The following is a 25089-nucleotide window of genomic DNA, read 5'->3' on the forward strand; positions in this document are numbered from 1 at the left end:
TAATGACCCCCCACATTCTCTAGCAGAACCTCTCTCTGTGGCAAACTGAACTGCTCAGTGTGTTTTCTCCAGGCGGCCCGCCCTGCCTGCCCTTCCTGACTCCTCCTCCCTCCCCTGTCCTCTGTTAGACACATTTACAGAAGCCTGTCCTAGGAGTGTCCATCTGCCCCATCAGACTCTGAACTACTGAGGGCAGGGGTCACCTGTGCCTTGCTCACGGGATCCCCAACACCCAGCTGAAATGTGGTGGGAGCCTCGGGGGTCTCAAGTGAATGACTGATTCTTAAAAAGAAGCACGTGAAGTTTGTCCAGGCGGCATGATGCCTCAGACTTCAGACCCTCTCACTGCCAATACACTGTGCCTTCAGCTAGAAAGCTAGTCTTCATCTCCGCCACCTACCTGTACTTGGCTACCCACCTCTGGCCCTCCAGGTCCCAGCTTAGATGTCTTTTCCCACAGCAAGTCTTCCACCACCCCTGTGTTCCAGGGGGCCCTGTGTCTACCTGATCCTGCACTTACCCCTCTGCATTCTAATAATCTGTTTACCTGAATCCTCCTCCAGGTCCGGAGCTCCTTCAGAGCAAGAGTTGTCAGCACCCAGCATCGTGCCCAGGGTGCAGTCAGTGCTCAATAGATGTTTGCTGAAAGCTAACTCAGCACATTTAGGTAGTGAGATGGGGTTCTCATCACATAGCTGCTAAATAAACCGCCATAACATTCACTGTATTGTACTCACACTGTTGATGCGTCTCCTCCCACAACCACTGCTAGATGGAAATCTTCTCATGGGAAGTGATTGTATTTTGTTCATCTTCACACTTCAGTAAGTCAGGCAGCAATGAGCATGGATTAAGTAGCTGTTCAATCCTATGTTTTCCAAGAAGGATAGTTTTGGCATGTGGAGCAGGAGAATTCTTTTTTTATTTTTATGTATTTATTTATTTTTGAGATGGAGTCTCTCTCTGCGGCCAGGCTGGAATGCAGTGGCGGATCTCGGCTCAGTACAACCTCCGCCTCCCAGGTTCAAGTGATTCTCCTGCCTCAGCCTCCCGAGTAGCTAGGACTACAGGCACCTACCACCACGCCTGGCTAATTTTTGTATTTTTAGTAGAGACGGGGTTTCACCGTGTTGGCCAGAATGGTCTCAGTCTCCTGGCCTCGTGATCCGCCAGCCTCGACCTACCAAAGTGCTGGGATTACAGGCGAGAGCCACCGCGCCCCGCCCAGGAGAATTCTTAATTGCATAAGACAGCCCCACACATTGCAGGACATGCTGCTGTCCTTGCCCGTGCCCACTAAATTTCATTGGTATCCCAATCATTTTGACAACTACCCCACCTACACACACAGTTACAAAAGTTTTGGGGGTAAGAGGACCAGGAGGAAAATTGCACTGCACATAGTTGAAAAGCTATAGTTAAGTCTTTTCCTTACAACTTGGTGAGAAGCAATGGACTCCGTAACAGTGCCATGGTGGATTATATGTGTCAACATAATTAACAGAAAGAGGATCTCTGAAATATAAGATATTTATCTGGAAATAAAGCATTGCAATGGGAATATGCATGCCATAGTTAACTACATGCATATTCAGGGAGGTGAAGACAAAAGTTTTTAAAGGAAAAAAGGAGGAGGATTACATAATTGTTTTAAAATAATTATCCTTGGCTACAAAGATCAATAACAAGGGTGACACCAGTCCAAGTTTGGACAGGCAAATTCAGGGCAGTTGTTCTTGTAGAACCGTTTTTTTGTGTAAGGTTGCAATGGTGTTTGGGCAATGTTGTGCTTTTTGCAGAGTCTCTGTGATAGTTCTTTTGATCAGGCATTTATTCATGGCCTTCCCCAGCTCCATTTCTCAGGGCTTTCTTTTTTTTTTTTTTTTAACATTAGTGACTTCATTTTGATTCTGACAACTTTCACACATGTGTGTGGTGATGTGAGGTGGGGGCCAGGACATGTCACCCTCAATATACAACGGTAACCTGTCTTTGTAATAATAGTTCACTAATCTTTCCTGAGCACTTATATATTCCGGGCACTAAGCTGTGTATTATATAGTTTACTTAATCCTCACAACCACCTATGAGGTCCCATTTTTTAGGGACGAAATTGAGGCTGAGAAAGTTTCAAGACATTGACCCAAGTTAACACGGCTGCTACAGACAAGGGCAAGATACACCCCCAGGCGTCGGACTTCGCTGCTCTGTGCCGACCTCTTTAACAAGAACAAACATCAAAATTCCCAGTTGGAAGACTCCTATTAAAAACTGTCCTCTCCCATTAATTATAACGTAGAGCAGTTTTGCACAATATATTCTGCATAGTGTTAATTTAGTGGGATGTCAAGTGTTGTGAGATTAACGGTTGCATGGGCGATGGAGTGTGGGAAATGCTTTCAGCAAGGCCCTTGTAGAAGGCCGTGAAACAGAAACCGTGAAGACCACAGGATCCCTAAGGTGGCACAGCCCTTCACAGTGAGTCGGAGTGATTTAGAACATTGCTGAGCAAACAGCAGGGAGACCGGCAACAGGAGCTTGCTGGCCATGAAGTGCCTAATATCCAGTAAGCACTGCTCAGGCTCTAGGAAAAGGCTGATGCAGGAAGGGTTTCTTTCTTCTAATTTCTCAATAATAATAAAAATAGATACTATTTATGGAGTACTAATTACTCTCCACTTCATAGATGAAATACCAAGGCCTAGAAAAATGTGTTAAGTAACTTCTCCTAAGGTCACACAGCTATTTAGTGGCAGAGCCAAATTTGAACCCAGTTCTCTCTAACTTCAAGACATGTGATTGTAAACCCTATACACAAAGTCTCTAAGGACGTAGGGCTTATAAAGGCTTTCCTGTATGAATATCCAAGCAAATTCAGTCTCAAAGAGGATGCCCCTATGGGTTCCCTGTACCAGGGATTTATTTTTGGCATATCTCTTCAACCTGACAATTCGTTCCTTGGTCTGAGTACATGAAATTTTTTTCAGGGTATGTGAATTTTTTTCTTGGTATGTGAAATTTTTTTCTGGTATAATGTAAGTTTCTTAAATTTTACTATTTTTTTAATTTTATAGATTTCTATATGATATGGTTTGGCTCTGTCCCCACCCTAATTTCAAATTGTAGTTCCCATAATCCCCTCATGTTGTGGAAGGGACCTGGTTGGAAGTAATTTAATCACAGGAGGAGGTCTTTCTTGTGCTGTTCTTATGATAATGAATAAGTCTCACAAGAGCTGATGGTTTTATAAATGGGAGTTCCCCTGCACATGTGCTCTCTCTTGCCTGCCGCCATGTAAGACATGACTTTGCTCCTCCTTTGCCTTCCACCATTATTGTGAGGCCTCCCCAGCCATATGGAGCTGTGAGTCCACTAAACTTCTTTCTCTTTATAAATCACCCAGTCTCTGGTATGTCTTTATTAGCAGCGTGGGAACAGACTAATACATCATACCCTGTTACATGCTTTTTTTTTTTTTGATAAGAGTATTTGTGTTGATGCAATAGCATCTTTCTCCATAGAACTTACTCAGATGCCCTTCCTGGAGCCAGTGCCTGCACTCCATGAACTGCTGGAGAGGTCATTGTAGGGTATCGGCATCAGACCTCTCCTCATTTTTCAATTCTCTCTCTCCTTTATAACAGATGTTGGTGCATTTTTTGAAGAAGGGATGTGGCTACGATATAACTTTCAGGCACCAGCAACAAATGCCAGAGACTCCAGCAGCAGAGTAGACAACGCTCCCGACCAGCAGAACTCCCACCCGGACCTGGCACAGGAGGAGATCCGCTTCAGCTTCAGCACCACCAAGGCGCCCTGCATTCTCCTCTACATCAGCTCCTTCACCACAGACTTCTTGGCAGTCCTCGTCAAACCCACTGGTAAGGACAAGGATACCCAGCCTCTGCCATTTAACATTTGGGCAGACAGAATGTTCTAGCAAGAGTCTATAGATTGTTCTTGGTTTGTTATTTATTCCCCATAGGCTTTTTTAAGCAAGTCACATAACTTCTTTGAACCCCATTTCTCTCCATGAATATCAGGAAAACAACTTGCCAGCTGGGTGTGTTAGAGCAAGGTGTTAGAGTAATAATGTTGGTGAGGCATGTTGCGTTCTTTACAAGAATGCTGTTGCATGAATAAGAGATATGTTTGCATGTGTAATGATTATTTTTTCTCCCTACTAAATAAACACATTTGGCTGGACACTGTGGCTCACGCCTGTAATCCCAGCACTTTGGGAGGCCAAGGTGGGCGGATCACTTGAGCTCAAGAATTTGAGACCAGCCTGGCCAATATGGCGAAACCCCATCTCTACAAAAAATACAAAAATTAGCTGGGTGTGATGGCACATGCCTGTAGTCCCAGCTACTCAGGAGGCCAAGATGGGAGGATCACTTGAGCCCAAGATGTCAAGGCTTATAGTGAGCCATGATCGTGCCACTGCACTCCAGGCTGGGCAACAGAGTGAGACCCTGTCTCAAAAGAAAAAAAAGACTAATAAGAAAGACTAATAAAACATAAATACATTCACTAAATGTGCTAAACAGAGATGGGCTTTGAATGAGTAAAATTAATTTTACATAAATTAATTTTATCCTGATTTATGATAGTATACCAGTAGGTTGTTACAGAACATCTGAACTTTCAATAGGAGTAGAAAATCAGAAATGTCTTCATTCCCAATCCTCTCAGAACTTTAAATTCACAAAGTGTATCCCTGTCATAAAGGTTGCTTAAAGCAGGAGTTTATTTTAATTTTTTTTGAAACAGGGTCTTGCTTTGTTGCCCAGGCTTGAGTACAGTAGCAGGATCACAGCTCACTTCAGCCCTAACCTCTCAGGCTCAAGCGATCCTCCCACCTCAGCCTCCCAAGTAGCCGGGATCACAGGCACATACCACCACTCCCAGCTAATTTTTTTAATTATTTGTAGAGTTGGGGGTCTCACGATGTTGCCAGGCCTGGTCTTGAACTCCTGGACTCAAGCGATCCTCCTGCCTTGGCCAAAGTGCTGGGATGACAGGCATGAGCCACCATGCCCGGCCCAGGGGTGTATTTTTACTTGTAATATCCTGGGCCATCTTGGTCGTCAAACACACATTAAGCCAGAGAGGATCTGAGTGCACCTAAAATTGGCATCCTGAGGAGAATATGCAAATGGGCTTGTGACCCTTCAGCAGTGACCTCTGAGAGACATCTAAGAAGCCCTGGAGTGTACAAACTTGCTGAACTTGAGAAGTCCACTTCCTCTCTGAAAATGAACTCATATACCTTAGAATTCTAAGATCACTCTTTTTTTTTTTTTTTTTTTTTTTTGGAGATGGAGTCTCGCTCCATCACCAGGCTGGAGTGCAGTGGCGCAATCTCGGCTCACTGCAACCTCCGCCCCTCGAGTTCAAGCAATTCTCCTGCCTTAACCTCCTGAGTAGCTGTGATTACAGGCCTGCACCACCACGCCTGGCTAATTTTTGTATTTTTAGTAGAGACAGGGTTTCACATGTTGGCCAAGACAATCTCAATCTCTTGACCTCGTGATCCACCTGCCTTGGCCTCCCAAAGTGCTGGGATTACTGGTGTGAACCACTGCGTCAGCCCTAAGATCACTTTTTTAATGAATAAAAATATTTTAAGAGCATGCAGGAACAAATCTCTCTAACTCACTTCCCATTGGAGCCGAAAATATGGAGACTCTCTCTCCCACTGCCCATTGTTTCCTGCCCTTCAGTGATTATTCCACTGTTATGGCATCTTAAAGAGCAAGAATTTTGGCTGGGCACTGTGGCTCATGCCTGTAATCCCAGCACTATGGAAGGCTGAGGCAGGAGGATTGCTTGAGACCAGTAGTTCAAGATTAGCCTAGGCGACATAGCAAGACACCATTTCTACCAAAAATAATTTAAAAATTAACTGGGCATGAAGGTGCACACTTGTGGTCTCAGCTGCTCAAAAGGCTGAGGCAGGATGATTGCTTGAGGCCAGTAGTTCAAGACTAGCCTGGGCAACATAGCAAGACTCCATCTCTACCAAAAATAATTTTAAAATTAACTGGGCATGGTGAGGCACACCTGTGGTCCTAGCTACTAGAAGGCTGAGGGGGGAGGATCGCTGGAGCCCAGAAGTTGCTGGAGCCCAGAAGTGCAAGGCTGCAGTGAGCTATGATCACGCCACTGTACTCCAGCCTGTATAACAGAGCAAGACCCTGTCTCTAAAATAAAATAATTTAAAAAAAAAGAAAAAAGGAGATCAAGATTTTTCCCATGGGAGCTAGAACTGTTATTACTAACTTAATTCAGCTTGAGTTTTAAAAAAACAGTAAATTAAACTCCCTCTCTAGGAAATGCACTGTTGCTTAAAAAGATGGAGGAAAAAGTATGTTCCCTAGTATTTTCCCCTTCTGAAATTATTCCTAAAGAAATAAGCCAAAAGTCAAAGATTCATCATGAAGATGTTCATCATAATGTTTCGTTTTGTTTTTTGAGACGGAGTCTCGCTCTGTCGCCCAGGCCGGAGTGCAGTGGCATGATCTCGGCTCACTGCAAGCTCTGCCTTCCAGGTTCACACCATTCTCCTGCCTCAGCCTCCCGAGTAGCTGGGACTACAGGCGCCTGCCACAACGCCCGGCTAATTTTTTGTAATTTTAGTAGAGATGGGGTTTCACCGTGTTAGCCAGGATGATCTCAATCTCCTGACCTCGTGATCCGCCCGCCTCGGCCTTCCAAAGTGCTGGGATTACAGGCGTGAGCCATCGTGCCTGGCCAACATCATAATGTTAACTATGAAAATAAAAATTGAAAAGAATCTGAAAGTTCAACTTTTAGTAAAATAGTAAAAGAGGGAGTTGCCATTTTATGGAATATTATGTATCTATTAAAATATTTATGAATCGTGATTAATGATATGGGGAAATTTTATGTATGTTAAACCAAAAAAACATGAACAAGATCCAGCCTTGAATGTGAAATATTAGCTCCATAAAAAATATAGGGATAGAAAAAAAAAAGCAATAATGTGAACACAAAAGTGTTTGGTTGGATTGTGGATGATTTTTTTTTCTCCTGAGCAGTACTTTTGTATGCATGTCAAATGCTTTAATCAGAAAGATGAAAACAGTAAGTAAAATCAGAAAGTGAGGATGAAAGAGAGAGAAGTATGGAGCCCCTGGTCTTCAGGAGTTCATCAGTTTATTTCTCCTGGATCAGGGTCAATAGGTTTTTTTGACCCACTGATGTTCACTACCCACATGGACCAGCCTCCCACTGGGCAGATAAGAACCTTGGGTTTCTTCTCAGGTCCCTCCCCAGGAGGAGGGCTCTCACCCAGAGACTGTCAAGAAGTTGGTGAACACATTCCCACACATACTTTTATTGTCTGCTCCTCGAGTCACTGCCACACTAGATTTGGTCCTCAACTGTATTCGCTACCTCACATGCCCACTGCTACACACCCACCGCTGCTGTGCCTTCATCACCTGCCACTGCTGTGCCCTCATGCCTGTGTGAGGACTTTCATTGTCTTCAAGGGCGTTGATCAATGGATTCTGTATTAATGGCCACCATTTAATGAAGCTCACTTTGTGCCCAAAGCCATCCTGAATGGTGCCATGCATTAATTCCCATGAGCTGCACAACTCTATGAAGTAGATACTATTATTATTTCCTTTCTACTGATGGCAACACATGAGTGCATGGAGGTTGAGTGCCTTGCACACTCAGAGGATGTTGGGCCAGGCTGGGGTTTCTCAGCCTGGGTGTCCGATTCCAGACCCAAAGCTCCCCACCGGCTGTACTCTCCAGGGCAGGCATCTCTGGAACTCTCAGTGTTCTTGGAAGGCAAAGCTGGGTGGGTTCTGTCTCACTGTTACAAGACTATCCTCAAACTGCTGGTGAAAATTCAGCTTTTTCAGACTTCAAATACAACATGTTTTTATTATTTGAAGTTTAAAGTTAGAAAAAAAAGGAAATCATTAGGAAAAAACATCAGTAAGGTCTACGCCAAAGTATCAGGAAAAAGCTACTAGAAAGTCTCCACTAAACACCCTGGCATCACTCACATTTCACATATCGAAAGCTCTGCTCACTGTCCTCCAGAACCAGCTGCCCCCAGCACCACCACTGCCCATCAGACACTTGTGTTCCCAAGGTCAGTGTCACTCACCAGTGCTCCGTTCTTCCCTGCTTTTGTGGGTCACCCAGGCAAACAAGTCCTGTGAATTGAACTCATGGTGTCCTTTTCCTCCCCACCACTACTCTCTGAGGCAAATATCTTTTAATTCCCAGTAGTGTTTACGTCATGGTGTCCATAGAAAATTATTATATTTGAATGGTACCAGGGTAAATGGATGAGGTCATGTTTTGGAGGCCACCTGCCCAGTGACTCCAGCTGCCATCCCCTTCTTCATGTCTGCCACGGTGTGAGGGGAGCCTTGCTCCTGGTACCCCATCACCCATCTGTAGGACAGCCGTGGGCTTCAGCTTGTTGGCTGGGAAATTCTCTCCCAATCCATCTCTCTGCTTCCAGATTCTCCCCCTCACCCTTTTTCACCACAGCCAGCACCGCCTGCCTTTATAGGGTGTCTTATTTTCTGTTGCTTGTAACAGAATACGTGAAACTGGGTAATTTATAAAGAAAAGGAATTTATTTCTTATAGTTATGGAGGCTAAGAAGTCTGAGGCCAAAGGGCCAAACCTGGTGAGGGCCTTATTACTGGTGGGAACTCTCTGCAGTTCTGAGACAGTGCAGGGCATGACATGGCGAGGTTAAGCTGCCAGCTCAGGCCTCTCTTCCTCTTCTTATAGACAGTCCCACTCCCATGAGAACCTGTTAATCCATTAACCCATTAATCCATGAATCTATGAATGGATCATTCCATGAATCGATGAATGGATCATTCCATGAATCGATGAATGGATCATTCCATGAATCTATGAATGGATCATTCCATTCATGAGGACAGAGTCCTCATGATCCAATCACCTCTTAAAGGGCTCACCTCTCAATATACCCATATTAGGGATTAAGTTTCAACCTGAGTTTTGGAGGGGATATTCACACCATAGCATAGGGATATTGCTTAAAAGGGATCTTGTATAATGTCTTTATTAAACACTCAGTGGTGCCCCACTCCAGCAAAACCAGGAGAGACTCCTCAGTGCCACAAACTTTTAAGTTTGAGACCCACCAAGCTCATGGGTGAGATGGTGGCCTGTAGAGCTGGACCGTCTGGGTTTGAGGTCGGCTTTGCCTTTTGTCAGTTGTCTTGGGCAATCAGTTGGCAGCTCCATGCCTCTGTTTGCTCATCCATAAAATAGTGTCTCCCTCACAGGAGTGTTGTGAAACTCAAATGACAATATGCATGTGTCAACAGTTATTATTTCCCAGGTCCACGGATTCAATCTACATTCTAACGCATATTCAGCAACCCCTACTCTTCGTTTTGAGAAACTCATTACCCCTCAAGCACTCTGTGGTCATATGTGCACCTGACTTTATGCCTGCAATACTCCCTTACCTAGAAATGCCCCAACTTCCTCTCTAGCCAGACACCTGCCTTTCATTCTAGGCTGAGATCAAGTCCCACCTCCTTTTGATGACTTCTCCTTGCTTTAAACTCCTATTCCACTTACTTTCAATGTCATTTGTTTGGCATTTAATGTACTGTATTGTTATCTGTCTCTGTGATAAATATGCCCTGTCTTCCCAGAGAGATGAAAAGCTCCCAGCACTACATCTCCTGCCTACGATCAGTACCCTGTAAGTGTGTGCTGATGATAATGATGATGACCAGGAGAGAATAAATCTGTTAAGCATGTTATTTGCTGCATCCAATAAAAGAGAAGTCCCTTATAACTGCTTTAATTCACTTGGGAGATGAACATGAGACACAGAAGTGAAGCACCTCAGCATTTGAATAATGTTTTATTTTAATGGACAAATACTAGCATTCTTCCTACCATCATTTAGCGGTCCTCTTCTGCTGTTATCTGAAAGGAATAAATACATCATTTAAATTGGATTATTCAAGAATATCACCATTACTGTTTATAGATAGTCACTATATATAAATTTAAAGTTCCAACTCATCTTTCTTTCTCAAAGCCAATAATTTCTGCTGCCATTAAGTGAAGCAGTTATAGGAATTTAAAATCATATTTACAAAGTCCAAGAAGGACAGAAAAGAAAAAAAAGAGAAAACAATGCTGATTTTAATAGAGCTGAGGAACATAAAGGGGCCAGTGACAAAGTGACAGCAGAGAGGAAAATGTCCAGCGTTTTGCATAATTGCCGGTTCCTCCGACCTCTAGGCCTCTGTGTGTTTGTATCCTCAGAGCCACACACATATTGCCTGACCCATGCCAGGGGATGGGCATGGCTGTATGTGTTATAAGTGGACTCTACACTTGTAACCAGGCAGAAAGCCTATTTTCAGACCTTTAAAAAAAAAAAGCTGTGCTTTGCACAGGAACTAAATATATGTGTTCTGAAGAAATGAATAAGAGATGAATCAAGGCAGCTGTATATTTAAGAAAACTGGCTGGGATGATATGATGTCAGAGCACCAGAAATAAGGCAGAGAGTAAAAACCTAAGACAATCAACGTGTTTTTTCTGCGTGTTGCCAAACAACTGCCTGATCATCTCCGTCATTCCCAAACAATGGACTATTTTAATGCTATTGGGTAAAGGAAAAACCGAGTAAACACTGAGGGGTGGAGAGAGAAGCAGCTCAAGAAGTAGGAGCAGCATATTCAAAGGCCCTGAGGTAGGAGGAGATCGTATTTTCTAGGGAATAAGAGAAGTTCGTGGTAGTTTGAATGTAAAAAGTGACAGTGAGTGGTATGACTTGAAAATAAAGTAGCAGGAGGAATGCACATCAGACAGGGCATTGCAACCGCTATTTGGAAAGTACATCTTTATTCTGTAAAGAATTGGAAGGCTTTGAAGGATTTTAAATGACCCAATAAAATAATCAGTTACACATTTTGAAAACATGGGGAAGAAGACGGTACAGAAGCAGGGAGACTGTATTCATCTGTTCTCACGCTGCTATGAAGAAATACCTGAGACTGGGCAATTTATAAACGAAAGATTTTCATTGACTCGCAGTTCCGCATGGCTGGGGAGGCCTCAGGAAACTTACAGTAATGGTGGAAGGGGAAGCAAGCACGTCCTTCTTCACATGGCGGCAGGAGGGAGAAGTGCAGAGCAAAGGAGGGAAAGGCCCCTTATAAAACCATCCGATCTCATCACAACTCAGTCACTATCATGAGAACAGCACAGAGGTAACCACCCTCATGATTCAGTTACCTCCCACTGGGTCCCTCCCATGGCACATGGGGATTATGGGAACTACAATTTAAGATGACATTTGGATAGGGACACAGCCAAACCATATCAGAGACCATTCAGTCATTTATTCAACAAATATTTATTCCACTCCTACTGTGCATCAGGCACTATTCTAGACATTGGGAATAGTCATAAAGAATAGAAACAAAAATTCTTGCTCTCATGGAGCTTATCTTTGAATAGGAGAAGACAGACAATAAACAAATTGGTACAATCTATAGTATGTTGTGTGCTAAGAACTGTTATGGGGAAAATATGAGGCAGAAAAGGGAGGGCCTGGCCAAGGGGAAGGAGAGGGTAAATTCCACTTTTAATGAGGAAGTCACAGAAATGATCACTGAGAAGAGGACATGAGAGCAAAGACCTGAAGGAGTGAGGGCATAGCCATGCAGAGACCTGGGGAATGAGCATCCTGAACAGAAGAACCGGTGACTGCAAAGGCCCTTGGGTAGGAACAGGAAGCCAATGTGGATGGTGAGGAGTGAGCAAGGAGGAGAGTAACAGGAGGTTAGGTCAGCAATAATGAGGAGATCATATGGGGCCTGGTGAGCCATTGCAAGAAGTTTGATTTTTACTCTGAGACGGGGAGTTACTGGGATTTTGAGCAGAGGATCACTCTGACCACCGTGTGGTGAGGACACTGTGTATCTCAGGGTCAGAGGCCCAGTGGGATCAGGGAAGGTTGGAGAAAGGACAAAAGCTAGTATAATCCCAGCAAAAGACACTGGTGGCTTGGTCCAGGGGGTAGAGATGGAGATGGCGACAAGTGGTAAGATTCAGGGCATATTTTGAAGATCAAGCCAAGAAGACTTGGTGTCAGATGACACATGTCATATAGGAGAAAGAGGACAGTCAAGGCTTTTGGCAAGAATAACTGGAAGGATGAATTGGCAATTCACTGAAATGTGGAAAACTGCAATGGAATACTTTTGGGGAGAGAAGATGGATGTTCTGTTGCATATGTTATGTTTGGGGTTGCCAGTAAGATATCTGAGGGAAAATATCAAGTAGACAGTTTGTGAAAGAGTCTCCTCAATGCCACTGTGTCTCCTCAAATGAATGTGCTGAAAAGTTATTTAACTCACTCTTAGTAAGAAACTACTCCTAGAATTTATTCATTAATTTTCAAATGATAATTTCACACTTCTTGACTGGAATATCATTTTGAAGATTGCTGATAAGTACAGGTGTTTCTGTAGCTTATTAATAAAAATATGCTATTATTAAAAAAAAAGAGTCTGGAGTTCAAGAGAGAAGTCTGACTAGGGTATGAATGTGGTGTCTGATGGGCATACACCTTATTCAAAGGTCCTACATAGGATAGGATTGTTGGAGTAGGTAGGTAGACACACGAGCAGGGCAGAAGAGGGTGCCCCCTCCCACCAACCACCAAGAATGTCAGACAACCATCAGGTGATGGTCAGGCAGTTGCTAAACTGTCTCTCTCTAAAATGATAATTGGCTGCAGCTGGCACCAAGGAACGACCGTCTCCCAATAGATAGAAAACATCTGGAGCTGGTGATCAGCAGCTTCCCAATCAGATCTCAGGAGTTGGGCAAGCGGGCCCAAGCATGCACACTAAGAGGCAAAATGATGGAGTTTAACGGGTATATGACCTTCCTCTAGGAACACTCAACTGGAAAGGGGAAAAAAAATGCCTCAAATGAGCATGCGCACTACTTCAGTAAACACCTGTGCATGCAGCCCCTCCCACGTGCTCGCAGGCCACTGCGCATGCAGACAGCCCGCCCCAAGGGAAGAATCAGGGGAGAAGAAACCAAACCCCAGAACTATGCCAATGTATAAAACCCCAAATCAAGGGCCAAACAGGGCACTTGGATCTCTCAAGTCGCCCGCTTGGCCCTCTTCCAAGTGCACTTCCTTTCTAAAACTTTTTAATAAACTTTCACTCCTGCTCTACTAAAACTTGCCGCAGTCTCTCCCTCTGCCTTAAACCTACTTCTGCCCCTCAAGCCGCATTCTTTCCTCTGAGGAGGCAAGGATCAAGTTTGCTGCAGACCCTTTGGGATTTTCCTTCAGTAACAGGATCACCATGGAAACAGGCCTGAATACAAAAGAGAATATGCTTCAGGGCTGGTCTTTGGGGACTGCAAGAGTAAGGTGCCCCAAAACGAGGGGAAAAACAGGTAGAGAAGGAAAACCGAAAGAGTGTGTGCTGGAAGCCAAGTGTTCCCGGGAGGTGAATGAATTCTGTGCCGAGTGAAGATGAGGCCTGAGAGGGACAATTGCCTCTACTTCCCCAAGGGTCACGGGCCCAGCAAGAGACCGTGGAGCAGGGAAGACAGAAGTGAGACAGAGGGCTCATGCTAAAATAGGGACGGGTTTGGAGGCAGCAAGTGTACCCATCTCTTTTCATGGGGTTCGGAGCAAAGAAAAGCAAAGGATAAGAGGCCTCACTTGAGAGTGAAATGAGGTCAAGAGCAGTAATTTTTAAAGAGGAGGCTGACTAAGACCCACCATCTTCTGCAATCCAGGCAGAAGATGGTGCAGGTAAAGCACAGGTGAGGATGAACCAGGAGCTCTGTGTGGAGCTGCCTCAGCCAGGGAGCAGGCTCCCTCTGGAATTCACACAAGGACACTGTGGGTGCCAACAGAAAGCCTGTGGTTACCGAAGTGGAAAAGAGTGAGGGAATTTAGATAGATTTAGGAGACGAAAATCCAATCCACGGTGCTTAGTTGAAATGCCAGGGGCAAAGGAGTCTAGGATGACATTCTAAGGTAAAACTCAGAAATAGTGAAGGTTTGTTGAATTTCGTTTAGAAAACAAATATAGGAAATGTAATTAGCTCTTGATTATTCTAACAAATGTTCCTTTGAAATCCAGGAACATGGCAAGTGTAATGTTAGGATGCCTAAATAAGGAAGAGCACAGCGTGTGTGTGTGTGTGTGTGTGTGTGTGTGTGTGTGTGTGTGTGTGTGTGTGAAAGTCTGGAAGGAGCTACTCCCAAGATGTTTAGAAAAATTATCTTTGGGTGGTGGGATTTCAGGTGACTTTCTTTTATTTTTTTTCTGTTTACTTTCTATGTTTTAATTAGCATGTTTTATTTTGTAACTTAAAATCAGAATATCAGTTTTGTTCCCCTAAAAAGGAAATGAAAGGTGACAAATAATCCATTAGGTGATTTGCAGTTGGTCAAATTCTTGCTAGATTGCTGGCTCCATTTTTAAGCTCTGAGATATCAACATGAAAATTCCAATTTGAGTAACAAATGAGATAAAATATTGATGTCTTTAAAACTCATAACTAAGATATAATATTTATGCTTGCAGATTAACTAAAAGCAGGATCTACATTGTCATATTAGTTATTTTCAATATTGTTTTTTATTGTTGGGACGAAGCAAGGAGGAAAAAAAGAATATACTGTTGAGGCAAAGTGAACTATCATTGAGGGCAAAAAGGGACTCAGGGGACCAGGGAAAGCCATCTTTCCTGTTGATTTGCATTTGATTAGTCTGTAAGCTAAAATAAAATTTATTACTTGGTCTCAATGAGGCCACCCAAAATCTCATCTTTAAGAACTATGTTTGGCCAGGAGCGTCGGCTCACGCCTGTAATCCCAGCACTTTGGGAGGCTGAGGCTGGCAGATGACGAGGTCCGGAGATCGAGATCATCCTGGCTAATACGGTGAAACCCCGTCTCTACTAAAAATACCAAAAAAAAAATTAGCCCAGCGTGGTAGCGTGCGCCTGTAGTCCCAGCTACTGGGGATGCTGAGACAGGAGAATGGCGTGAACCCGGGAGGCGGAGCTTACAGTGAGCCGAGATCGCGCCACTGCACTCCAGCCTGGGCGACAGAGCGAGACTCTGTTTCAAAAAAAAAAAAAAAACTATGTTTATTTTTAATATTGTATGCTCATGATTCTTTTATATGCCCAATGTCACACTTTGCTGACGGGGTGAGAACATCCCTGCACTCTGCATTTATTTTTTTATTTCACATAGTGTTTCGTGGGACCTGCAGATGTCTCCTCCCTGCAGTCCTATATTGTATATGCTCTCATTCTTTGTGTCCAGGCATAATCCCAACTTGGATCATTTAAACTATTTGCATCTTCAACTTTGAGACGACAGTCACTGAAGTTCACTGTGGGCAGATTGTAAATATGTGCGAGCCTGGTGCTGTCAGCCGATATGGGTCAGTAGGCCTCTGAGCTCGTGAATCCAAATTCAAATATTGAATGTTATCTGTGGACATCAAGGGAGGGAGTAAAGTTTAACAGAAATTGGATGGGCATGGTGGCTCACGCCTGTAATCCCAGCACTTTGGGAGGCTGAGGCGAACGGATAGCCTGAGGTCAGAATTTCGAGACCAGCCTGGCCAGCATGGTGAAACCCCCATCACTACTGAAAATACAAAAATTAGCCAGGCGTGGTGGCAGGTGCCTGTAATGCCAGCTACTCAGGAAGCTGAGGCAGGAGAATCGCTTGAACCTGGGAGGCAGAGGTTGCAGTGAGCCAAGATCGCACCATTGCACTCCAGCCTGGGCAAGAGCAAGACTCCGTCAAAAAAAAGAAAGAAAAGAAAAGAAAGGAAGAAAGAAAGAATCTAAGAGCAGGAATTGAGGGGATGTGACATTAAAATGAAATTTAGGGCAAACAAATTACTGAGCTTTCTTTTTTCTTCTATAGGAAGCTTACAGATTCGATACAACCTGGGTGGCACCCGAGAGCCATACAATATTGACGTAGACCACAGGAACATGGCCAATGGACAGCCCCACAGTGTCAACATCACCCGCCACGAGAAGACCATCTTTCTCAAGGTATACATACATGTACATATAAATTACATATAATATCGCATTATAGTCCCTGTCCCTATAATGCTTGGCCATTGGTTTTGTTTTGAGGGGATAGAAGTAGAAGAGATGCTTTTTACACTTTCTCCTACAAGTGCATAACTAGTGAAGTAGAAATATATATAATTCTGACAAGGAAAGACAATGATGAAGTTGAAGACATCTTTTAGGGGGAAATAGAATAAATGTTTATTCCGTATAGTCTTTCTGGTTTTCCCAGTTCTAGATCCACATATCTATCAATTTACTGCTTTTATCCATTGCACCATCTTTCTTCGCCAAGCTCTCAGACATCTGAAACTTACCGTGTTTCCCAGCAAAGGTTATTTTGGTTTCTCCGACCTACTTCTTTCACTGCTCCAACACAATACAAAGAGCTGTATTTTTCTCTCTCTCTCTGCAGAGCCTTTGTCTTAAAAATCCTCAAAACAGTCTTTCCCCAGAATCTCAGACTCTGACTGTGGGCTTTCGGCACACAAAGGGATGGTTTTATTATGACACTCAAATTTTACTTCAGGTTCATTGACGACCCCGGCCCTCACCACTGATTTTTACAGTGAAGAAACCAGCTTGGGAAACACCATGAATAAAACATAATGTGAGGAGGTCTCCCTGGGAGCTAGGCCAAGACATCAAGGATGGGAACTGTCACTGCATTCTCTAGAAGGAGTTCAAAATAGATGCCTGTCAGGAGAAAGAACAGCAGGAGGATGCTGTTTTGTCAGTAAAGTGGAGTGTCATTTGGCAGGGGTTCAGCAGCCTCTCAGACCTCATTCTGATTCGGCTGGATGCTGTGGGAAGTTCAGGTTGCAAAGAAAAGGCACAAGCCCTATCTCTTTTGAGCACTGGTGGATGTCAGATTCATAACTTGATATGGAGTTTGCGCGTGGCCTTTAGCAGTAAATGCTAGAGGGCATTTTAAGGAGAGGCCTTTCCTAGGAAACTGACATGCACTGTTTCAGCTTACTGCGCCATCAATCAAAGGTGGCATAATAAGGTTCTCTCATCATGGTCGACAGAGTCCCAGAGCCCAGCACAGTACCTGGCACACATTAGGGGTGACAAATTCTTTATGGAGTAAACCAAGCCCATCTTTAACCAAGTTTTAGTCAGAAAAGCCAGCAAGTCCAGGAGACAGATCGTTTTACATCATTTCATCAACATTGTCTCCCTCGGCTTTTGATTAGAGACTTTTTCCATTTTAAGCCACCCAATTTGTCACCTCTTTTAAAGAAAGTGACTTATCTTGCCATTTTACCATTGCGAAATAATACTAAAACTTAAAAAGACCTAAACAATGGCTTTTCAGACAGTATAACAGCAGAGACCCACCACAGCCATAGAATCGTATACAGTTTACCCTCACTCTCTGCCACAGTGAATTAGAGAAAGACTTGAGGAAGGGGAGAGGAGTGGATGATTTTTAAGACTTGGGGCTTTGGAGGCACAGAAAGCCAGAGATATAGACAGTGGAGCAGCCAGAGACCTGCAGAGAATCCAGGGGATGAATGGGTTTGGGGGAGGGTCTGGTTCTATTGCCCAAGACTATTTTGGTTGCAAATGATAGAAAAGCAATTCAGAAGTAATTTGTTGGGGAAAATTCCTAGGGTAGGTCATAGAATTATAGAATTTGAAAAAGATAAAACCAAACTTTGGGAAGAGAATCTAGGGAGCCTGGAGAATTAAAACTGTGGACTAGAATACCACTAGGTTTCTCTCTCCCTTCCTTCCTTCCCTCCCTCTTTTTCATTCTCATCTCTGCCTCTCTCTGAAGACTGGATTAATTACCTCTTACTGCATGCTCCATCTTTCACATATCCTAGGCCATAGTCACAGGAGTACTGGGCTCATGTCTTCCCAATTTTGTTACCGGAAGAAGGGGTCCTAGTTTCTTGACACTCATTTTAAAATCCCAGGGAATCTCTGATAGGCCTGGTTTGAGTCACGTGCTCACCTTGTTGGGTGGAAGGGGGAACAAAGACCCATAGTCCCTAATCACATCTCTTGATTAGAGTGGGGAACTTGGGAAACTCCCTCAAAAGAACAGAATGCAGTTCCAGAAAAAGGAAGGAGATAGGACGACAGGAGTGAAAATTTTGGATGCACGATTCTGAGGTAGGAGAGGAGAAAAACCTGGGAAGTGCTTCCTCGATTCCGCCCTAGGTTCTGCACCTGGAAGTGTTGGGAGATCCAGCTCTCCCTCCTTCTCTGTCATGTAATGTAACTGACTGCAGTAAGATTTCTGAATGTCCCAACCCACGTGAGGGCAACTAGGAAAGATGTCACGGCCTGGGGAGCTCCAATCTCTCAGCCCAGCCTGTCCCATCTACCCTGGGACCTGCCCACCACTGAGGGCAAAAAGAAAGTAAAGATAGAGGTGGTGGAGGAAGACAAGATGTAGTTCCTCCTTATGGAAAAGCAGATCCCAGGGCTTCTCACTCCCATGCCCCACTTTCTTTCATGCAGGGAGGCCTTGCAGACGTGGAAGTAATTCGGAAAGTGCTTTGCAACACCAAATAACACTGCAATTTTTTCTTAAAACAATCTAAAAATCCATCTTGAGAACTTCTACAGCCTCAACTGTGTGTGGAAAGAGATATAATAAAATGTTCACAGTGATCATCTGTGTGTGAAGGGATTATCAATGGTTTGATTTCCTCTAGAGTTTTCTATTTCCCCATTTTCTATTATAAGCACATGCTGCATTTTTATAATCAAACAGAAATATGAAACAGCCATATATTCTCAACCTATTCTGGTAGTCCCCAGTTATAATAACATATGATAACAAAGGCATTTCAATAATTTCAAATTAATATTTATTTATTTATAGTCAAAGAACAAAAATAAGGCTAATGCAAAGATGAATGGTAGATCACAGTGCTGTGGAATGATGTCTTTGGAATTAAGGTGAATGTTGATGCATTTATACATGCTCAAACATATAATTTAGATGATCCTCATCAGTGTTTATGGTGTCTTTAAAAGCAGGTTTACTTTCGTAGCTGGGTTTGGCTAAAGCTAACATTAAATTAATCTGCATTCCCTCAGCACACACCCTGTGAAACAGCACTGAGCACTTGAGGGAAACTGACCTTGGATGAAACATTTGCTGCCAAAAGACAAAGTACCCAGTCTCCACATAGATAACAGGGAACTGACTGTAGTAGTTATCAGACACCAGCGTGAACCAGAACCCATGGCATACCTCCAGTGGCATCATTTGTGAAAACTCACAGTCGCATCAGGGAGAATAGCTTAAGGCTTAATGCCAGTCAAAATATAAACAAACAAGGTGCAGCCAGAGAGCACCTGAAAAAGTCTGGCATGCAGTGAAAAATTATGTCAATTAGCATGAATCCAAAAGCGAAACATTCTAATCAACAATTCCAAAGCCTTGTGCAACTAACCCTTTCTTCTTCCTTTCCTTCCTTCCGTCTTGCCATCCATGTTTCTTTTCCTTCCTATTTTTTCCTTTCTCTCTTCCCAACCACATTGCACAAGGGATCTAAGGGGGTTTACAGGGAGAATATTAAATGAAATAGAGAGTTAATGGAAGTCACAAAAAGTAAGTCCCCAAGATCGAGAAAATAGAACATGATTATCAGGTCACAAGGTCTTACCACTTGGATAAATTTGACTGTGAACTTCTCGGCAGCCAGAAGTATGCAACCCATAAGGATGAACTAAGCCAGTTCCTCTTGAGAATTGAACCTTTTGTTATTATATCATTTTTATTTTATTTAATTCCATGGATTGTATTTACTGACATAGAAAATGCCCATAGCATACTCCACTTATACAACATCACATACACGATAACAGCTCACATGTATTGGTGCTTACTGTGTCCAAGGCAACGTGCTAAGCACTTTAGACACATTTTCTCATTTAGTCATCACAAAAACTTTATGAAGTATGTGCCATCATTATTCCCATCTGATGTGTTTTGGAATGTGTCCCTGTCCAAATCTCATGTCAAATTATAATCCCCAATGTTGAAGGAGGAGCTTGGTGGGAGGTGATTGGACCATGGGGGTGGATTTCCCCCTAGATGTTCTTGTGATAGTGAGTGAGTTCTCATGAGGTCTGGTTGTTTAAAAGTGTGTAGCACCTCCTGCTTTGCCCTCTTCCTCCTTCTCAGGCCATGTAAGACATGCCTGCTACCCCTTTGTCTTCTACTATGATTGTAAGTTTCCTGAGGTCTCCCCAGCCATGCTTCCTGTACAGCCTGTAGAACTGTGAGTCAATTAAACCTCTTTTCTTTATAAATTACCCAGTCTCAGGTAGTTCTTTATAGCAGTGCAAGAATGGACTAATATACCATCTTAGAGATGTGGAAATTAAAGTTCATAAAGTAAGATGCAACCTGCCCAAAGTTAGAAAGCGGTAAATGGCCACAGCATAGTCGAACCCAGGTCCGTCATACTTCAAAGTGTACACAGGCTCTTAACCTTGCTTAATAGACAGATGTCTGGAAGGATGTTCACAAAATTTTAGAAGCAGATACCTCTGGCTGGTAAGAAATTAAGTGATGTTACTGTTATTACCATAAGATAGTTCAAAATATGCAAAAACACAGAGAATAATAAACCATATGCTATGTACCCACCATTGAAACATTACAAATTTCGACATTTTGCCCTATTTCTTCAGATTTTTTTAAACACAGCAACAATTAAGAGTCTGTTGTCCTCCTGGTTACATAGTGGGCCCCAATAAAAGTCAGAGTCAATGCCCTCAGCAGCATTTCTGCAAATGTATTTGTTACAAGGCTGTTAGATGCTGAAGCTCCTTGGGAAAGTAAAGCTTCCCATTTTGAATTCAGCCCAAACAAGTCTGTAGAGAGTGAGGTAGAGCAGGATGATGGACAGATGAAGAGGCCAAAGGCTGAGATGATGCAGCTTTCTGAAATTTTGAACTGATCCTAGGATAAAACTAGCTGGAAAATGATAATGAATAAACTACATGTTCTTTGAATAATTATCCATGACAATCACACATTTTTGGGTTTAGATGTGAGTTAGACAATAGAGAGTTCAGGGATATATTCTCTGGCACAGATACTCGGAATCCATATTCTCTACAAATCAAATGAACAGATGGTAAGGATGTATCATTTTGGCTTTCATCTAACTAGAGGGCCATCTTATCTTTGCCAAGAAGAAGCTAACAGATTTTCTGCAAGCAAAATAAGGCCTTTCTTAGAAAATAATTCTAGGTCCTCAGGAACAAATGATGATTAGATCCCCAAGTTCTTACACCAAAAAGAGGATGACTTTGATTATTTTCACTGGGAATTTTCAAAACAAATGTTCAAAAATATCACTGAATTCTGTTCTTTAAAATAATATAAGCACGGTAATTTCTTACCTGCTACTAATCTGAATTTCAACCAAATTGTATAAAAACAATTGCATCAATTGTTAATTGAACTAGGTCCTGTATATAAATCTTAAGAACTGTCAGAGAAGTGTCAAAAACATTAGCAACATGTAGTGTGCTAGGTGCTAGAAGTAGAAGAAAGGATACAAATATTAGGATGATGCCAGTTGCTATACAAATTAGCCCTCAAATGTCCATGTTTTAACCCAATAAAAGTCTGTCTTACATCAGATATATTTTCAGAAAAGGAAAGTTCTCTGGTCTCCAGCAGTGATGAAATTGTGCTGGGCAGGCACTCTGAGGACCTGCCACTGCCACCAACTTCCCTGCTTCCCCAACCCTGGATTAGGCCAAATTATTGTCCATTATTCTTGAAGCCCTCCTGGGCTCCATCCTCTGGGAGGCTCTTCCTTGTGTGTGTTCAGCCATGGCCTCCCCTGAATTATGTGCCGGATAATGTGCTCCTTACAGCTGTGCAGCAATTATTTTTTTTTTTTTTTTTTTGAGACGGAGTCTTGCTCTGTCACCAGGCTGGAGTGCAGCGGCACGATCTTGGCTCATTGCAACTTCCACCTCCCGGGTTCAAGTGAATCTCCTGTGTCAGTCTCCCAAGTAGCTGGGAGTACAGGCGTGTGCCACCACGCCCAGCTAATTTTTTGTAATTTTAGTAGAGACAGGGTTTCACTGTGTTAGCCAGGATGGTCTCGATCTCCTGACCTCGTGATCCACCCTCCTTGGCCTCCCAAAGTGCTGGAATTACAGGTGTGAGCCACCGCGCCTGGCTACAGCTGTGCAGCTTTAAGGCCCATTTCCTGCAGGTTCAAATTACACTAAGGGTTTTTTACACTCATAAGCCTTTTGTGGACTAGATCTGTGCTTTCTTTTCCAATACAATTCCCTCAAAACCCAAGGTGGCTTCTGATCAATTTGCTTCTGGTAAGTTTCATGTGCTGGTAAATGCACCCTAAGCTCTTCCCTAGACATCAATCTTAGACTTACTCAATCATTTGCCTCCAGGCGCCCATGCCTCTCTCTCTCAAGGTAATGGCAGCTACTTTGGGGCCAGTGGACACAAAAGGCTTGGGTGGGAAGTAAAGACCCTTAATTTAAATGTTACCCGTGAGGCTAAGTCAGTTTGCTAAACAGAAATCTTACTGCCCCATTGTTGGTCAAAGCGGTTTGCAGTGTTATTTCTTACTCTCTAGTGTAAGGCTCTAAATATCTAGACTTTTTTCTATTCTTTTCATTGATTATTGGGAACTGGTCAATTCTTTCCTGAACTCATCTGCTCCATGACATGAGGAGCAAAAAGCAACTGACACACACGACCATTCTGTCTCTTTTGAAGAACTTTCCTTAAAGCTACTTAGGCATTTAGTCTGCCTTCCAGGTTATGTGAGGTGACAGTTTTACAAAATATTTTATTGCATACTATATTAGTCTGTCTTGCACTGCTATAAAGAAATACCTGAGACTGAGTAATTCATAAAGAAAAAAAAGGTTTAGTTGGCTCACAGTTCTGCAGGCTGTACAAGACGCATAGCAGCTTCTGCTTCTGGGGAGACCTCAGGAAGCTTAGATGGCAGACAGCAAAGGGAAAGTAGGCTTGTCTTACATGGCAGGAGCAGGACTGAGAGAGAGTGAAGGTGCTACGCACTTTCAAACAACCAGATCTCATGAGAACTCACATATTATCAGGAGAACAGCACCAAGAGGGTGGTGCTAAACCGTTCATAGAGCTCTGCTTCCATGATCCCATCAACTCCCACCATGACCTCATTTTGGACACTGGGAATTACAACTCAACATGAGATTTGAGCAGGGACACATATCCAAACCATATCACATACCATTCTTCCTCTGTCTTTCAAGTCCCTAATATTCATTCCTGCACCACCTGCCACCTTACCACAAAGCCAATGCTACATGTGTTAGGTTTCTGTTATAGCAGCACCCTGCCTTAAGATACCAATGTATGTATTCGTTAGGGTTGTATTCGCTGCTATAACAAAAAATCAGAGGCTTAATACAAATAACTTTCTTTCCCACATAATAGTAAAATGATTTCTAGTTGGAAATCGTAAGCAATATATAAATAGGCTGATAAAAAAGGTGTTTGTACTAATGTCCAAAAATAATAGAGTAAAAGACATTGTGGTTCTATGCTATAACTATAAGGCTTTGAAGGAAGGATAAGATGTTAACCTGTGAATGGGGGGCAAGAGAGGACATGGAAGAATATTTATTATGGAAGAGGGAGAAGGAGAGGGAAGATGTGTGTTCCAAAAGAGAACATGATGTTAAACAAAGATGCTAGCAGAGTGACTATTTCATAGATTTCATCCTGTCTCTATCTCATGAATAGAAAAGACCACTGGAGAAGACTCAGTAAAAAGTCTTACCTGGAGAAATTCTCACTCTGAAATATGTAACATCAAATGGTCTGAAGTCATTTATGAATATTGAATGCTGTAAAGTCAGTAGTCTGAGGCACATGCAGAGTGGTGTCAAAAATTGTTGGAAGAATTTTATCAGCAGCAAAATGAGAGTAATTCAATTATGGACTCCTAGGGCAGCACCAAATGTTAATTGACGTGAAACATTGGTGGCCGGGGGAGCCCTAGTTCACCACTTTCTATATGTGGAAAAGTGTACAATTGTAAGGACTTTCACATAACCTCCTCAAGCCCAGAGAAAAATCTCTGTAGACTTGAGAGGGCCTTAATGATCATGTTAGGTAGTGCTCAAAGCCCTTTCTTACATATCGAAATGCTTGCCCACATTGCCATTCTCAGCCTTATGAACTGGAAATAGCTGGTGCTATTAGTCCCATTATATACATGAGAAAACAGAGATTAAGAAGTCCCAGGCCAGGCGCGGTGGCTCACGCCTGTAATCCCAGCACTTCGGGAGGCCGAGGCGGGTGGATCATGATGTCAAGAGATCGAGACCATCCTGACCAACATGGTGAAACCCCATCTCTACTAAAAATACAAAAATTAGCTGGACATGGGGGTGCACGCCTGTAGTCCCAGCTACTCAGGGGGCTGAGACAGGAGAATCGCTTGAACCCGGGAGGCAGAGGTTGCAGTGAGCTGAGATCGTGCCACTGCACTCCAGCCTGGTGACAGAGCGAAACTCCATCTCAAAAAAAAAGAAGTCCCAATGATGAATAAGGTCCCAGTGCTCACAAGAGACATGATCTTCTCTAGAACCCAGCTAACCAGACCCCGTTTCCCCACTTAGTTTGCTCTTTGTTGTCTTTGCAAGTGGGCAAGAGAAGCAAGCTCACTCCTGTTCATTTGCCTTATAAACTTTTGAAATTTTTTAAAAATGTTTACGCAAAATTAAGTCTTTTGAGGATTTGTGTTTTCTTTGGAGTCACTAAAAGCAATGACTTTATAGCGTTTCGTAGGGGGTCATAAAACCCTAATTTTTATAATCAAAGAGAACTACAAGGTCCAACGTTAAGGCTAGTGTTTTTACAGCACACAGTATCATACACCCATAAAAATTCCATCTCATTCTTTAA

General features: G+C 43.0%; 1 protein-coding gene across 1 annotated transcript in view; it reads left to right on the top strand.

Annotated features, from left to right (window-relative positions):
- The window catches only part of CNTNAP2 (contactin associated protein 2), a 2304198-nt gene that overhangs the window by 2096843 nt on the left and 182266 nt on the right, over positions 1-25089 (top strand). The window contains exons 19-20 of the mRNA NM_014141.6: positions 3645-3881; positions 16003-16136. Of these exons, the coding sequence (NP_054860.1) occupies positions 3645-3881; positions 16003-16136 (371 nt within the window). The remainder of the gene's footprint in view (positions 1-3644; positions 3882-16002; positions 16137-25089) is intronic.

The sequence above is a fragment of the Homo sapiens genome, chromosome 7, assembly GCF_000001405.40.
Source record: "Homo sapiens chromosome 7, GRCh38.p14 Primary Assembly".
NCBI lineage: Eukaryota > Metazoa > Chordata > Mammalia > Primates > Hominidae > Homo > Homo sapiens.